Below are 18,405 nucleotides of genomic sequence, written 5' to 3'. Positions count from 1 at the left end.
AGTTTATTGAACAAAGCGAAAGGGAAGCTTCCACATGGTGGAAGGGGACCTGGAAGGGTTGCCACTGCTGGCTGTGGTGGCTAGGACTTATATCCCTGTGTTACCCCCTCCCCTTTCTTTCTTTTTGTCCATTGAGAGTGGCTCTTTTTTCAATCCTCCCTTGGAGTGGTTAACTTTGAATCCTTCACTTTATTGATTAAGAACTCAAAACCCTGAGTCACAGGGGTCTTTTGTGAAAGTCCCCAAATCAACCCAGGAAGTCCTGCCAACTCCACACCTCACTATTGGTTTTGATACTTTGTATTTTCATTATCATTTGGTCAAAAAAGTTTTCAATTTTCTTATCAATTTCCTCATTGACCCCTGGTTATTCAGTAATGTATTGTTTAATTTCCATGTGTTAGTATAATTTCCAAAATTTATGTTGTTATTGATTTTTAGTTTTATTCTGTTGTGGTCAGAGAAGATACTTGATATTATTTCAAAGTTTTTAATGTGTTAAGACTTGTTTTGTGACCTAAGGTATGGCCTGTATTTGAGAATGATCCATGTGCTGAGGAGAATGTGTATTCTGCAGGTGTTGGATGAAATGCTCTATGAGTAACTGTTAGATCCATTTGTTCTACAGTGGAGATTAGGTCTGATGTTTCTTTGTTGATTTTCTTTCTGGAAGATCTGTCCAGTGCTGAAAGTGGGATGTTGAAGTTTCCAGCTATTTTTGTTTGGGGATGTATCTGGCTCTTTAGCTTTAATAATATTCGCTTTATATATTTGAGCTCTCCAATGTTGAAAATATATATGTGTGTGTGTATGTGTATATATATATACACACACACACTGAATACATATGTATGTATACACATGTATATATACATATATGTATATATATACATGTATATATATACATATATGTATATATATTTACAATTGTTATATCTTCCTGATAAATTGATACATTTATCATTATATAGTGACCTTCTTTGTCTCTCTGTGTAGTTTTTGTCTTGAAATCTGTTTTGTTTCCTGTAATTGCAGATATTCCTGCTGTTTATTGGTTTCCATTAGCATGGAATATATTTTTCCATGTGTTTATTTTCAGTCTATGTGTGTCTTTATAGGTGAAGTGTGTTTCTTGTAGGCAACAGATCATTTTGTCTTTTTTTTCTTTAATCCGTTCATCCACTCTATGTCATTTGATTAGAGAGCTTAATCCCTTTACATTCAATGTTATTTTTTATAACTAAGGACCTATTGCTTCCATTTTGTTATTTGCTTTCTGGTTGTCTTATGGTTTGTCTTCTTTCTTTCTTTCCTTCCTGTCTTCCTTTAAGTGAAGGTAGTATACTCTGGTGCTTTGATTTTGTTGACTTTTTATTTTTTATGTATCTATTGTACATTTTTTGGTTTGAGGTTATCATCAAGCTTGCAAATACTATCATACAACCCTTTATTTAAGCTGATAACAACACTGTTTGCATAAACAGACAAGAAAAAATAACTAATAAAAACTCTATACTTCATCTCCATGCTTTTTAAGTTTTTATTGTTTCTATTTATACCTTATTTTACTATGTCTTGAAAAGTGATTGTAGTTATTTTTGTTTCATAATTTAGTCTTTCTACTTAACATAAGAATATTTTATACACCACCACAGTTACAGTGTTATAATACTCTGTGTTTCCTGTGTACATACTATTACCAGTGAGTTTTGTATCTTCAGATGATTTCTTATTACTCACGAACTTTCTTTTTTTATTGAAGAACTTTCTTTAGAATTTCTTATAGGACAGGTCTGGTGTTGATGAAATCCCTCAGCTTTTATTTGTCTGGGAAAGTCTTTATTTCTCCTTCCTGTTTGAAGGATATTTTAACCAGATATACTCTTCTAGGAATTTTTTTTGTCCTTCAGCACTTTAAGTATGACATGCCACTCTCTCTTGGCCTGTAAGGTTTCTGCTAAATGTCTGCTGCCAGATGTATTAGAGCTCCATTGTATGTTATTTGTTTCTTTTCTCTTACTCCTTTAGGATCCTTTATTTATCCTTGACCTTTGGGAGTTTGATTATTAAATAACTTGAGCTAGTGTTCTTTGGGTTAAATCTGCTGGTAGTTCTATAATCTTTTGTACTTGGATATTGATATCCTTTTCTGGGTTTGGGAAGTTCTTCATTATTATTCCTTTTAATAAACTTTCTACCCTTATCTCTTTGTCTGTCTCCTCTTTAATGCCAATAACACTTACATTTGCCCTTTTGAGGCCATTTTCTAGATCTTGTAGTCATGTTTCATTGATTTTGTTCTTTTTTTTCTCTTGCCTCCTCTGACTGTGTATTTTGAAATGGGCTGTCTTCAAGCTCACTAATTCTTTCTTCTGCTTGGTCAATTCTGCTATTAAAAAACTGATGCATTCTTCAGGGTGTCAGTTGCATTTTTCAACTCCAGAATTTCTTCTTGATTTTTAAAATTATTTCAATCTCTTTGTTAAATGTATCTGATAGAATTCTAAATTTCTTCTCTGTGTTATCTTGAATTTTTTGAGTTTTCTCAAAACAACTATTTTGAATTCTCTGTCTGAAAGATCACTCTCTCTGTTTCCCCAGGATTGGTTTCTGGTGGCTTGTTTAGTTCATTTGGTGACTTCATGTTTTCCTGGATGATATTGATGCTTGTGGATGTTTGTCTGTGTCTGGGCATTTAAGCGTTGGGTATTTATTGTATTCTTCACAGTCTGGACTTCTTCGTATTTGTTATTTGGAAAGCTTTTCAGGTATTTGAAAGGATGTAGGTGTTGCTAAAGCTGTATCTGCTTTAGGAGGCACCACAAGCCCAGTAACACTGTGGTTCTTGGCAGACTCTTACTACCTTAATGGTCTTGGATAAGATCCAGAAGAATTCCCTTAATTACCAGGCAGAAACTCCTGTTCTTTTCCCTTGCTCTCTCCCAGACAGAGTGTCTCTGTTTGGAGCCACCTGGAGCTGGGGTTGGGGTGACACAAGCACCCCTGTGGACCCCACTGCTGGGACTGCAGTGGGTCAGACCTAAACCCAGCACAGCACTGGGTCTTGTCCAAGACCTGCTGTAACCACCCTGGCTACCACTTAAGTTTGTTCAAGGCCATGGGTCTCTATAATCAGCAGGTGGCAAAGCCAGCCAGACCTGTGTCTTTCCCTTCAGGGTGGCAAAAATCTCCCAGGCCCTGAACAGGTTCAAAGTTACCGTCTGGAAGTCAAAACCTTAGAATTCTACCTTGTGTTCTTGTGTACTGTGGCTGAGCAGGCACTCAACCTATGAGAAACAGTCCTTCTCCACAAGCAGAGGAGCCTTACCCTGTGCCACTATCAAAGACCCTTGGGGAGTACTGCCAGGCTACCACCAATGTTCACTTATGGCCCATGGCCTCTTAAATCAGCTTGTGGTGAATATGCCTAGCCTGGCAGTAAAAATATCAAATATTTTCTTTAGCTGCAGATGTAGCCTTTTATGACTTTTTATGCAGAAGCATAAAAGAAGGGAAATAAGTCAGTAAAGACAAGGAGACAATACAGAAATTGAGAGAGAAAAAAACCCAGCAGAATGCTAATAATATGAGAAATATGAGAAACAGCAACTTGGACAGCAAATAGAAAGTGTCTAGTAGTGGAAAACAGAACTGGTAAGAGGCAAACAATCAACCATACACCCACGTAAAAGTAGGTATCGGCTCCATAAACCTCAAGGCATTATAGAGCAGCCATATAGCTCAACAAGGATAATGCTAATGCTAGACCATAAGACAGAAACAACTAAAGTCATTCCGCCCATTGGCTTATACTGTCTGTGTCTCCTCATAGAGCCTGAATTAGCTTTAGTATGGTAAGGACTGGCATTTGCTATATACATATCTTTTTTTTTTTTTTTTTTTTTGAGACTGAGTATCACTCTGTCACCCAGGCTGGAGTGCAATGGCGCGATCTCGGCTCACTGCAACATCCGCCTCCTGGGTTCAAGGAATTCTCCCTTCCTCAGCCTCTCGAGTAGCTGGGATTACAGGTGCCCGCCACCATGCCAGGCTTATTGTTGTATTTTTAGTAGAGACACAGTTTCGCCATGTTGGCCAGGCTGGTCTCGAACTCCTGACCTTGGGTGATCCGCCCACCTCAGCCTCCCAAAGTGTTGGAATTACAGATGCGAGCCACCGTGCCCAGCCTACACGTTATTTTTAAAAAGATGATCAAGTTCCAACTAGTTAGAACTTTCTACTTATCTTCTAAATAAAAACTGTTCTATAGGTTTTTGCCTGTGATTCCAGAAAATCAAAAATTTTATCATCTTTTTCTCTTTATTTTTATTTTTTTTGTGTGTGTAGAACTTCAACTTGTCATTACATTTACAAACTTACCAGCAAGTTCTTATCTTCCTAGCATGATCATTAAAAAGATTCCTTACATCTTCTTGGTAGTCTGCTAAAGGAGAAAAGGTTTCTGTGATTATTACAGACTCTAATGTAGCAAATAAATAAATAAAACATAGTTTTCTCCTGTTAGCTACCTACACCTTCAGGTATAATTTTATTTGCTTGACACATGGAAACAAATTGCAGGCTTTATGAGTATAACCATTTTTTAAAGTTTTCCTTAAGAAAAAAACCATAAGGTTTTTCAAGTTGTAAATCATAACATTCAGAATACTCTTTTGAAGCATTAAAACTATTTTTTGTTGAGACCAATAAAAATTTTTACCAAAAGAAACAAATATTATGGGTTTTAGTGATACAATTCTTAACTACAGAGGAGGAAATATTTCTTTTTGCTAATACTACCCTCTAGTGGAATAATGGGCAAGAGAAAAGAGCATGGTTTTGGAGTGCTGAGCGAGTCCTTAATTTACTGCACAAGAGAACATTTGCACAGAAGCCGATTTATATACATTTTTGTTCAGATGTCCCTGAGCATAAATACAGTGAACTATTGATTATGCTTGTTGGAATTGCATTTCAATACATTTCTCCTCTTGAAATAATGCATTGTGGAAAAACTATATGCAACTAGCTGCTTTTGTAACCACAATGAAAGATTATAACCCCAAAGTATGTACAACGTGCCATAAAAAGAAATACTACTACAATAACTACATTAATTTATTCTTCATCCTGTCAATAGAAAATAAAGGGGGAAGAGAACCAATCTTTTCATAGGCTTCAGTCATTTACAGTCTTAGGTGTGTGTCTAATCAGTTTGTGAATCACTGTACATTCAAGTTAGAAGGTGAATCCAATGAATACTTCCCAAGCAAATAAAAAGTTCATCATATTCAACACTGTGAACAGCTGTGTTGACATAATTGGAAAAGTATATACATTTTTTTTGTTTCTGAAGAATCAAATTTTCCAAAAAGTACCTTGTGACATTAAGGTTTTAAATTTCCCCTGAGAATAAAATAAAGAATAAAATTTTTAAGAACATAATGAGCTCATTGGAAACTCATGCATGGAAACATTGCAGTGTTGGGCTCCTTCCTTTCGAACCTTCAGAAGTTACAATTTAGGGGTGCTAAAGGATTTCCACACCCTTAGTTACCACATCCACTTATTAAGTTAATTGGCACTCTTGGAAAGGGCACGAAAATGTGTGAATGCTAATGTTTTATATATTTACTCCCTGCATGGAGCCTCAAGATCAATACCCTTCACAGTCCTCATTATAGAGAACTAAAACTTCTCGGTTCATTTACTTGTTCAGATTCTAAAGTCCATAATTTATTGTAAAAATATTTTTCATAGAAGAGATGGTGAATACTGTATTTCAAAACAGAAGAAATGATATTTTTTATTTTTCAGTTTTGTGTACAGTTCAAGTTCTCCTATTAGAATATGCAGGTTTATTCATATTGACTACTCAGAACTCAACTCTATGGCGAATATAAAAGGAAGCATTGTTTGATAGTAAGAAATAATTATTCTGACTTCTTTGCAAAAAGAGAAGTTTGAGATCTGTTAATTTATGTGTTTCCAGCTTAATACTGTACAGGAAAATTGTTGTGTCTAAGCAAATATCAAAGAATATGTAGAATTTTTTAAATTTTGTTTTTACTAGCAAGTGAGAAAAAGGGGACTTGGAGGAGAAGAGCAGATAATTAACAAATTTAGGTTTCAGTTCAAATATGTTTGACCCACACTACCCAAAACACGGTAGGGTAAGGATTATTAAAATATTATAAATAAATAAATCTGCCATATGAATAAGCATTATTTATTGACAAAAGATTATATACAATTATCTCTAAAAGATAAAATGATTCAGAAAAATATGGTCTTCCTTTCAGGGGACTTGATTTATTATTTTGGCCCTGATAAGTAGATTAATTTAGTCAAAGTTACTAGCCTTTCTGCAGATTAGTATTTTTACTAGCCTAATGGCAGTTAAGTGACACAAAGACAGGGACATCTTTTTCTTGAGTCACAACAGTATCTTCAGTGCCTCGCACTGAAGTGCTAAATATCTGATGAAAGTGGGAAATACCTGATAACTATTTATTTAATGAACTTGACAATGCATGAATAACAATGCATATATAGCGCCAAATTGGAAAAATAAGATACATATAAGTTGCTCTGAAAAAAATTCAGTAAATTAACATTGTTTTCTGTGTATAAATATATCTAATCTTAAGTGTCATTATTTTAGTGCGCTGCAGAGAAAATCTCCTTTTATCATGTAAAATGGCAACAAAGGATATTTCACAGTTTGTATCTGAAATGTTCTAGTCAGTATTATGCTAAGTATATAAAATAATTTACATTGCTATAAAAACATATAAAGAGCATTTAAAAAAAATCTTTTACGCCTGCTTCACAGAATGTAGCTTTTAAAGAAACTTGTTCTTATTTTCAAATGTTAAAATTTTACCTCTTACCATTAGAAGTTAGAAAAAAATTCCAGGGTCACTTCAGTCTCCAAAAGGCATGTTTTTGAGGGTGAAAGACTTTATTCCAGTGGAACGGCCTTCAGTTGATATCCACACATTAATATTGTATGAGAACTCTGGCAGTTTCCTCTGAGGTGCCAGTCTGAAATGAGAGTAATGGAATTGAGAGGATGGAAGGCTGACAGTGGTAAATAAGTTGTGTGATATGAAGACTGGGAGTCAATCTAGTAACTGTATCCCTAACCTGGTTTCAACTGAAGTACTAAACTCCTAATTGTGTTTTACAGGATATGAATGATTATCCTCCTGTCTTTAGTAAACGAATATACAAAGGGATGGTGGCTCCGGATGCAGTCAAGGGTACACCTATCACAACAGTTTATGCTGAAGATGCAGACCCTCCTGTAAGTAGAAGGCATTGATTAATATTCTGAACTGTACTGAGAAAAATCCTTAACACTCATAAATGACCGAATCACAAGACAGCAAAAGTAGTCTCTGTAAATTTCACCCTATTTATTCATACATTTTATGTTCTTTTACTTATTTCATCCACAGGTACAGAGCATATTTCAGATGACTATTATTGAACCTAGACAAAGAATATGCTTTTTGTTTTTCTAGAATGCACAATGTACTAATTACTAATTTATCTAACAATGATAAATATATATGAATTGTCTCCATTTGTAAGCTTCACTTAATCTGGATATGTTTTAAATTTATGTATTTTCCACTGTATGCATATATGACTATTTTGTTAGCAAACTCCAAATCAACATATCACATGAAACTTATATTGAATGTGTTTATTTTGGTAAATTAAAAAGCTTAAGATTGCTTACAGAAAATAGTTAACATTCTTTTATCATATAGAACTTTACTTTTTTGAGATATCCCAAATTATCTTTCAAGGCAAGGTTTTAATTAAAATATTATTATAGTGAGAGTGATAAAATACCATGTATAATTAATAGTATACATATAAAAAAGCTTTCTATAAATACCTTGTTTTATAAATATTAATTATTATCCTGATGATTTAAATTTTTCTCTGAGTGGGCTCACACTGTAAGTTGGTGGCTGATAAATTTTAGAAAAATACAAATAAAAGTTAAATGAACTATTTTAGAAGAGTAAGAAAATAAAATCCTGAATCTTATAAGTGATTTAGAAGTTCTGTTTTCTATTGCTAATATAAATAGTATTTCTTTTAATGCTTGTATTTAATTAAAAGTGAATGGCCATCATAACATTTTTCAGCTTCGATTTGGACAAGTCTTATAAACTCTATTGTGACTATATGGAATCAAAATGTATTAATGTTAATATGAAAGTGGTGGGCTTTAATTCAGAAGCTCCTTTTCTTAAGTGTGTTAAAATGTCTTTGAAACTGCTTTATTGTGCTTTGGGATATATGATAGGCAAAAATTTCATAGACTTGAACCCATCAATAAAGATAGTGAATGTGAAACTGGCAATTTTTCTGTTTTTTAAGTACATTGTAACATGTACAATTACTTTGAAATTAGGAATATGTATTCAATTTTATTCAACATATGTGTTTTTAGCACCAACTATATACTGGTCATTGTGGCAACCAGTTTTTGCTCTCAAGAAACTGAAAATTTTATAGAAAAGACAGAATTGCAAATAGAAACCATAACACTCTGTAATAAATGAGTGTAAGGAAACACAATACTAACATACATTTAAAAAAAATTTTCATCAGCACAGAATTTAATATAGAGTTTAATGGCGTTAATGATGAGAGATTAAAAGTCGCGCTATTTTTCACCTACATGGGACAGACCTGAAAGTCTTCGTATAGACAGTAAATTTATTACTTCCCCTTTGGTAGTAATGACTGTGGTGCCTGGCTTGGCATTCAGAGCGCATCCACCAAGGTGCGAAAAGTTGTCTTGGTCTGTTGTCTGTTCTATAAAGAAGATAAATTACTTATCGTAAGTATTTATGTAAAGAGAAAGCTCTGTTTTTACACTTTGAAGCTCTTTTAAATAAAATTGCCAGATTTAAATTTCATATTTCTTTGGAAGAGGTTTTCAGTTTTGCACTCCCAGTAGTAATTTTTAGCGTTTAATAATTGATATTGGCCTTTCATTAGATAGAAAGTGGATGCCAGTCATTCCATTGAAATACTGAATCTATTTATTTCAGTTATTGAGTATATATTTATCAGACTCAGTTTTGCCCCTGGAAACACCAACAATCTTTTGATATAGCTATGATCAGAATTGAGCTTTTGAATCATTGTTGCAAACTGGGACCCTTAAGTGAGCATAGTTGCAATTTGGTTGCACCTACACGAATCCTAAGTAAAAGCTCAATTCCATGAACGTTTTTGAAATTACTATATTACATAATTACTTTTTTTTAAATGTTATGCTTTTTACCCTTATTTTATGTTGGTACCATAAAGACAGAATAATTATTATTCAGATAGGCTTGCCAAGTGTTTTCTACTCTGTTACTGTTATAAATGTTTATTAATTAGAAGAAAATAGTTTCAATTTCATACTCTTCAGGGATCCTATACCACTACCTGGGGCTGTAAGTATCTATCTTAACACTGTAGGTTTATTTAATAGTCTCTCTTCCAAACTAGAATGTAAGGTCCTTGAGGACAGGAATCAAAACTTATTTCAGTTTGTATTCTCATGTCTAACTCTAAGCCTGCTACTTACTAGTCTGCCAGGAAACATTTGTTGAATAATTGAATAGGTGAATAAATAAACGTTTATTCTGTATTCTTCAGGATTGACAAAATGTGCCAGACTTCCAGAAATTTAATTTTGTATTACTGTAGAAAAAATTCTTAATATCTCCAAGACTTAGTTTGGCCATGTAAGGGCTATGAGAATTAAATGATTGATGTATATACATGCTCAACCAGGCTTCTGCCCCTGCATATATTAGGTATTACTATTATTAAGCAATAATAATTTTCATTTCTAGAGGTTGGCCACATCGTTTTCAAGGTATCCTGTTTCTTTTGAATGAAGTGAGAACCACTCATGTTAAACTATAAAATGACAACACCATAACTTTTTGAAATATCAGAGAAACTGGAAAAACTCTGAAAGCCAGAGAGAGCACTATTGTTGAATACAAAATAAGAATTATAAAATACATGTTTTGCAAAACTGAAGTGCTCCAGAGGGAGGAAAAACATATTCCAGGAACTTTTCCCTCTACTAAATTGAAGCTGAGAGGATCTCTTTTTTCTACCGTGCTTTCGTGACAGCGTTGACATTATGTAGTTCACATGAGACATGAATAGTGAATGACTGATCATTTTTGAAATTAAAAATGGCTAACCGTTTATTTCTTTTCACCAGAGACGTTTCATTCCCAAATTTGACAGAACAAAACTACAGGTGTAATGTTTATTTGCATAGTTTTGTTCTTTTTGAAACTGCATTTATGAGGAGATTTTGGGGAACAGGGTTAAATTGTGACAGAATAGTCTTTTGTGAGTATGTGAACATGGAATAATTGGGATAAATAAATAGGGTTTATGTTTCATCTTCACTTCATCTCCAACAAGTGAAGCATTATTTGTACCATTCCTTATATTTTATATATTTTAGGAATTTATAAGGTTCTTGTTTAAAGTAGAGTAGTAATTGGAACATGTTTAATATTGTCTCCGAAACTGGTGGGTTCTTGGTCTCACCGACTTCAAGAAGGAAGCCGCAGACTGTCGCACTGAGTGTTACAGTTCTTAAAGATGGTGTGTCCAGAGTTTGTTCCTTCTGATGTTCAGACGTGTTTGGAGTTTCTTCCTTCTGGTGGGTTCGTGGTCTTGCTGGCTTCAACAGTGAAACTGCAGACCTTTGCAGTGAGTGTTACAGCTCTTAAGGCAGCACGTCTGGAGTTGTTCCTTCCTCCCGTCCAGAGTTGCTCATTCCTCCCAGTGGGTTCATGGTCTCGCTGGCCTCAGGAGTGAAGCTGCAGACCTTCGCAGCAAGTGTTACAGCTCATAAAGGCAGTATGGACCCAAACAGTAAGCAGCAGCAAGATTTATTGCAAAGAGCAAAAGAACAACGCTTCCACAGGGTGGAAGGGGACCCGAGCGGGTTGCGGCTGCTGGCTTGGGCAGCCTGCTTTTATTCCCTTATCTGACCCCACCCACATCATGCTGATTGGCCCATTTTACAGAGAGCTGATTGGTCCATTTTACAGAGAGCTGATTGGTCTGTTTTGACAGGGTGCTGATTGGTGCATTTATAATCCCTGAGCTAGACACAGAGTGCTGATTGGGGTATTTACAATCCTCTAGCTAGACATAAAAGTTCTCCAAGTCCCCACTAGATTAACTAGACACAGAGCACTGATTGGTGCGTTTACAAACCTTGAGCTAGACACAGAGTGCCGACTGGTGTGTTTGCAAACCTTGAGCTATACACAGAGTGCTGATTGGTGCATTTACAGTCCTTTAGCTAGACACAAAAGTTCTCCAAGTCCCCACTAGATGAGCTAGACACAGAGCACTGATTGGTGGGTTTACAAACCTTGAGCTAGACACAGGGTGCTGATTGGTGCATTTACAAACTTGAGCTAGACACAGAGCACTGACTGGTGCATTTACAATCCTTTAGCTAGACATAAAAGTTCTCCAAGTCCCCACCAGATTAACTAGATACAGAGTGCTGATTGGTGCATCCACGAACCCCAAGCTAGACACAGAGTGCTGATTGGTGCATGTACAATCCTCCAGCTAGACATAAAAGTTCTCCAAGTCCCCACCAGACTCAGGAGCCCAGCTGGCTTTGGCTAGTGGATCCCACGCCGGGGCTGCAGGCAGAGCTGCCTGCCAGTCCCGCACCGCGCGCCCGCTCTCCTCAGCCCTTGGGCAGTTGATGGGACCGGGCGCCATGGAGCAGGGGGCAGCACCCTGTTGGGGAGACTCGGGCTGCGCGGGAGCCCACGGGGGTGGGGGGGGTTCGGCCATGGCGGGCTGCAGGTCCCAAGCCCTGCCCCGTGGGGAGGTGGCTGAGGCCTGGCGAGAATTCGAGTGCAGCGTGGGCGGGCGGGCAGTGCTGGGGGACTCAGTGCACCCTCTGCAGCTGCCGGCCCGGGTGCTAAACCCCTCACTGCCCAGGGCCGGTGGCGCCAGACGGCCGCTCGGAGTGTGGGGCCCGCCAAGCCCACACCCACCTGGAACTCGTGCTGGCCCACAAGCACCATGCACAGCCCCAGTTCCCACCTGCACCTCTCCCTCCACACCTCCCTGCAAGCAGGGGGAGCCATCTCCAGCCTCAGCCAGCCCAGAGAGGGGCTCCCACAGTGCAGCGGTGGGCTGAAGGGGCTCCTCAAGTGTGGCCAGAGTGGACGCCGAGTCCGAGGAGGCGCTGAGAGCAAGTGAGGGCCACCAGCATGTTGTCACCTCTCAATATGAACAATTTTGACCAACTTTCTTTTATATATATGTATATAACATATATATATAACATTGTGAGAAATATGTTCTTTATATATATAACATATATAAAACATATATAGAACATATATATATATAACATATATATAACATTGTGAGAATTATGTAGACTTTTAAGACTTCTTTTTTCAGGCTTTAATACTGATTTATGAAATAAATATGCTCCATAAAAATTCTTGCAATTTTTAATAGTTATGGACTTTAAAATCAGTTCCCAAATACTTAGTATTCTCACTATACTTTTTCAGAAAGTATATATATAAAGAGAAAATCATTACAACTGTGAAGTATTTTATTTCCCTCTGTTGAGATTTTGAGAACTATTGTAGCGTTTCAGAGCTTAGAAGAGCTACCTGAGGAATTATTTGCAAAGGGGTTTCAACACCCATCTGTCATTCAAGGGTACATTTATTGATCTCTAGAGAGTGTAAAAAGATGGCTAGATCTTCTTTTCTATAATGTATATCTGTGTTTTATTAAAATGTCACGATGTTACCAAACATGCTATGTAATTATGGACATTTCCCAATGCTTAACCCTCCAAACAGTCATTCTGTTACAATCTATTAGCGGAGGGTGCTAACAGTAGAAAGAAAGTAACAGTCATGTAATTCGCTGCTTGCTTGCTTTGTGTGCCATAGTCAAAACTATTCAGGACCAAGAGTGTTATAAAATTGTATTTTTCCTTCCAGATAATATAGTTTTTTGGTATCATTTTCAATTGATATCACTACTGATTTATTTTTCATGACTCACCACATACTGGCTTGTGTTGTTAGTCTGTATTGATTTAGATTATTGCTAACAATGTAGCAGAGACTCTGATTTTTAAGATCAGCAGCTACTAACTATGATTTCTCACCCAGGAGCATGAGGAGGGAATATACACAGCTCAGTGTTGTTGTTGCTTTTTTTCCCCTTAACATCAAAGCTGTTAGGGAAATAATCAAGAACTACTTTTACTGTGAATGTCAGCTTGTGAAAATTGACATGCTATAGTCCCAGCCTGACTCCCATTTGTCTCAAATACTTAATTAGAAAGAAGGTACACCATGAAACAGTTGGGGCTTGATCTTTAAAACAACAGTGGAATATAATTAGATTTGAAAGTGTAAACGGGTATAAAAGGGAAGGCTTAGTGAAAAATGATTATATTATTAATAATACTTGAAATTAATATTAGAATTAACAATTCAGATGTAAATAATGCTCTTTTAATTTAGAAATTGTCATACTTACCAGAGCTAAAGGGGCATTTTTCTTTTGTTATAAATGGAAATGTGCGTAAAATTTGTTTGTTTCAACCTTTAAAAAAGTGTCCTTCAGATCCCATAATGTGTTACTAAATAAAACTAAAATCTAGCCTGGAAAATGTCCATACTCAGATACTTAGCAGGTAAACAGACTAAAAGCCTAACTTTAGTAGTATGTTTCCCTGTAATGACAGCTTAGTCTTAGCCAATTCCAGTAGGTATACTTTAACCACTCATAGGCGGCCAACTGTTTAAACTTTGTTTAAATAAGGCAAATGCTGAGCTGTAACCAATCCAGCTGTTTCTGTATCTCAGTTTTAGTTTTTGCACATCACATTTTTTTCCCATAGATGTTTGACCTTGTGACAGTGCCAAAGTCTCTCCGAATTTTCTTTGATTCTAGGGGCTGATTTGGAAATCATGTTTTTTTTCTTTTCTCAATTAAACTCTTAAATTTGTCTAAAGCTTTTCTTTTAACAGTATCAATAATTCACATATTTCGGGAGTGGGGAATAAGAATATACCTCACAGGACCTGGGTCCCAACATACTTTAAACAAGACAGATTTCCAAGAAAATTGAGTGAAATATAATAGACTTTCTCTGGGACTGGCCCACAGACCTCCCTTATGGCTTAAATGATATTCTTTATTCTGAGTGTCTTGCCAGGGGAAATGGAAACAGACCCTCTGAAAGGGTATCTTGGCTTCTCATGACCTGGATTCTTGGCCTTAACACCCTCTAAATTAAGCCACTCATAATTCCTGGTCTTATCTTTGTCCTCTTTGCAATTCGTTCATTTTCTTGCATGGTGGCTATGTTTGGACCGTAGCCCTACAATCAAACACAGACCTAACATAGCCTAGAGACTGTGTCACAGCCTGAGGTCACTTTTAGGACAAATTAAATTTTAAATGATTTCAAAACATCTGAGTGCAACTATCTATAGAATGAGAAAAATTGGCACCCACACCCTCCCCCATCCCCTCGGCCTCAGGTGTGGAGGATGGAGGCTGAAGGAGCTGTACCATGGGGCTGGCAGAAACCTTATCTGTTGCCCAGTTATCAAACCAAGGAGTACATGAAACCTAATGCTGAGGGGAGGCTAGAGGCAGATGGCAGTGTGAGGCTAAGGTTGCCTTCACACAGATCAGCAACTCCGTGAGAAGGACCCTAGATGATAGGTATTGAGTTGCCGCAGCTGCTTTGATTGCTTTGATCTGACGCGGGGATGATGTGGTTGCATTTAAAGAGCCTGGGATGGATCGGGCAGAAAATATCAGACTAAGAGCTTAAAAAAGAAACGTGAACACAGGAGTTACCTGAGTTGAGGTTCAAACTCTGAAAGTAAATCCATTCTCTAAGAATGAAAACATAATTAGATAAGAGAAAAACCTGGAAATAGACTCTCAGAATTTGGGGATATGTCAAGGACTGATTAGTGGAAAGAGCCAGAGAAATTAAAGACTGACAAGATGGAAGGGAAACCTGCTAGTAATGTGGTACAGGTGAAAAGAAGTTTTCAATGGAGAGAAGGAAATGAATGGTGAAAAACTTTGCAGACAGGGTAAGGACAATGAAATTTAAATGAAGGACCATAGTTCTGTTGATTAGGAACCCATGGGCGGCCTTCATGGTAAATTGGCCTCTGGTCTCCTGATGCTGCCTTCTTACTCTTTTAATTTTCATGTGTCTGAGGCATCTGGGGACATGACATTTATTTATGACTCACCTTTTTGTTTTTAACTCTGTAAGTTTATTTTCATTATATTTTCTTTGAAGAATTAGTCACATACATTTTATTTAAAAATAATTTATGGTGCCTTAATTATATTTCCTAGGCATTTTTAAACAGCCATTTATATTTTCCATATTTAAACCTATGTATGACGTGCAACACTCCTTTTATATTCTGACCCATCCACTCTTAAGCTCTGCATTTGCTGCATCTCTTAGTTTATTTATGTATTCAATTTATTGAGGATATACACTTTGTAAGTTCTTATATGACACTTTTTTTTTGCTTATACTTAGAAAACTTGAAAGACTACTAGAGTCTTGGGTCAAAAGTTTTTCCCTTTAAAGCTATATAGATGATGTTTCGCTATGTTTTTATTATTTAATAAATTATAAAGTGTGAAGCCAAATTAATTTTTCTTCATTTTTAGATATTTTAGCTTTATCTGCTTAAAAAAATCTCCATTTTTATATTAAAGTTTTTTACTAGTATATATTTAGATATTCTTTTCTTTGTATGAATTGTGTCTGGTGTATGATGGCCCCTCATATGCAAATTTATATAGTTTATCAGCTCAATAAAATTTTAAGTGGTTTCAAAAGTGTGGGCTCAGGAGCAAGAATGTCTGGTTTCAACTTCAAAAACTCCCACTGACTAGCCCTGTGGCCTTGGTCAAGTCACTTAATTTACTGTAACCCTCAGTTCTGGCATCTGGAAAATGAGAACAAAAATAGCACAATTAAAACTTTATAACCCTTGAACAGCTACTCCCTATTTCCCCTTTCCCTTAGCCCCTGACAACCACCTCTGCTTCTTGAGTTTGACGACTATTTTAGATATCTCATGTAAATGCAATCATGCGGTATTGGTCCTATGACTGGCTTAGTTCACTTACCATAATGTCCTCAAGATTCGTTCACATTGTTACAAATGGCAGTACTTCCTTCTTTTTAAAGCTGAGTAATGTTCACTTGTATGCATATACCACATTTTCTTTATCCACTCATCCATCAATGAACATTTAGTCTGTTTCCACATCTTGGATACTCTGAATAATGCTTCAGTACACATGGGAGTACAGATAGATATCTCTTAAAGATCCTGATTTCAAATATTTTGAATAAATTCCCAAAAGTGGAACTACTGGATCATATGGTAGTTACATTAGTAATTTTTTTGAGGAAACCCCATACTGTTTCTCATATTGACAGTGCCATTTTACATTTCCACCAACAATGCACAAGTGTAGCAATTTCTTCACATTCTTGCTAACTTTAAAAAAATTTGTTTTAAATAAAAGCCATCCTACAAAGCATGAGGCGATATCTGATTGTAGTTTTGACTTTATTTCCATTATGACTAATGATGTTGAGCACATTTTTATGTACTGTTGGCCATTTGTATGTCGAGTGTGTATGTTGTTGTTTTTTTTTGAAAAAGTTATTCAAATCCTTTACCCATTTCTTAATTGAGTTATTTGTTGTTTGTTTTTCTGGTATTGTTCTAAGGATCTGCTTTCCAAAATTGTGACTGTAGTTAACAATACTGTGTGATACACTTAAAAATTTGTTTAAAGAATATATTTCATGTGTTCTAAAAACAAAAGAAATACTTTATAGGGTTGCTGTGATGTTGAAATGATGTCATTTATGTGGAACAGTTGGTGCCTACTACATAGTAAATAATATATATTAACTATCTTTTTTTTATGTTTACTCTGACCTTTTTTATGGTTTAAGTCTATGAGATCTGTCATCCATATTTATATTTTGTGATCTGCTTCCTTCTCTTTGTGCTTTTCCCCTGCATTCTGGAAAATCCTGTAAAGGTCAGAGGTCCAGGAACCTGAGCATAAGTTGTAGAGAAGAAGTGGGTAGCATAAGGTAGTAGGGAGTCAGGAAGGTGCTATGCCTCTGAAACATGACCATGACAATTTTTTCCCTGCTTGATCTTTTCTCGGGGTGTGTTTATAATCTAAGGACTGGACCCAAGTATTCTGTTTTGAAGTTTCCCTTTGACTACACTACCATTGTGGCTAAATGCTACAGCTTGTTTGGCTTCACACCTGGCTGTTCCACTCACCATGGTAATGGAGAGCCTGCCACCCCATCCTCTCTCCAACCTCAAGCCATCTTTACTACAGAGTCAAATAATTTAAAAGCATTCAAGACAATGCCACTGTCAGGAACATTGTATGTCATATTATGAACTTTCTAACATATACCAGAGATTCCTATACAACTGTGATCATTAGTTAGTGTGAAGTACCCTGTGAACTTCTGGTGCAGCAGGATTTGATTAACACATAGCAAAAAGAATGAAGTGTAAGAACTGAGTGCTCAATGAAAATAGAAAAAGAAAGCAATACCATTATATAAAGTTTTTTTTTTAAGCACACAGAAGCTTCTACAGTTTTTCCTACAAAAACAATTCTTAGTAAACAACACCAAAATCTCACTGTTCTGCAATAGCAAAGATCAATATTTTTATTTATGGGTCTGTGAGGCAGCTAGGAGTTGGCTGACCTTGTCTGGGCTCATGTCTGTTCCACATATCTCCTTCTGCAGGGACGCATGGCTAACCAGGCCTGCTTTTCACATAGTGAGAATAGAATCCTAAGAGAACTTGCCTAACCACATGATGACATGTAAAGACTGCTCCCGTGTCACAGTTCTTCATGTCTGTTGACCAAAGCAAGTCACATGGCCTAGCCCAAAAAATCAGAATAGGAAGTAGAAGAAAGGGGAGGGGATATTTGCTAAACTATAATACAATGTACCATAAATGGTCTAGTTAAAAGATACTCCTTAAATGTATTAAAAAGATTGCCATTGGTGGCAAAGAGAGATAGGAAAAACAGGTATGAGAATAAAAGAAGAGAAAGAAATGAATAAACAAATATGCCTTGAAGATCCATCAATGATAATGTTTCATAAACTATAGGTAATATTTAACTCAAATCTGTGCCCTTGAGATCCAAACACAATAAAAATTCCTCAAGATTTACTATATGTTTGTGCATTGAATATTATTTAAAGAGATTCTA

At 36.3% G+C, this 18,405-nt stretch overlaps 1 protein-coding gene across 20 annotated transcripts in view; it reads left to right on the top strand.

Moving 5' to 3' along the window:
- PCDH15 (protocadherin related 15) overlaps positions 1–18,405 on the top strand; it is a 1,825,172-nt gene that overhangs the window by 1,624,985 nt on the left and 181,782 nt on the right. For 19 of the 20 annotated variants that reach the window (XM_047425663.1, NM_001354420.2, NM_001354429.2 and 16 more), the window contains one exon: positions 7,193–7,309. In XM_047425663.1, the coding sequence (XP_047281619.1) occupies positions 7,193–7,309 (117 nt within the window). Of the gene's footprint in view, positions 1–7,192; positions 8,387–18,405 lie in introns of those variants that run through there. The other variant, NM_001354430.2, reaches the window with a different exon arrangement.

The sequence above is a fragment of the Homo sapiens genome, chromosome 10, assembly GCF_000001405.40.
Source record: "Homo sapiens chromosome 10, GRCh38.p14 Primary Assembly".
NCBI classification, from domain to species: Eukaryota; Metazoa; Chordata; class Mammalia; order Primates; family Hominidae; genus Homo; species Homo sapiens.
The sequence above is the reverse complement of the archived record's forward strand: the minus strand, read 5'-3'. Positions and strand labels throughout refer to the sequence as shown.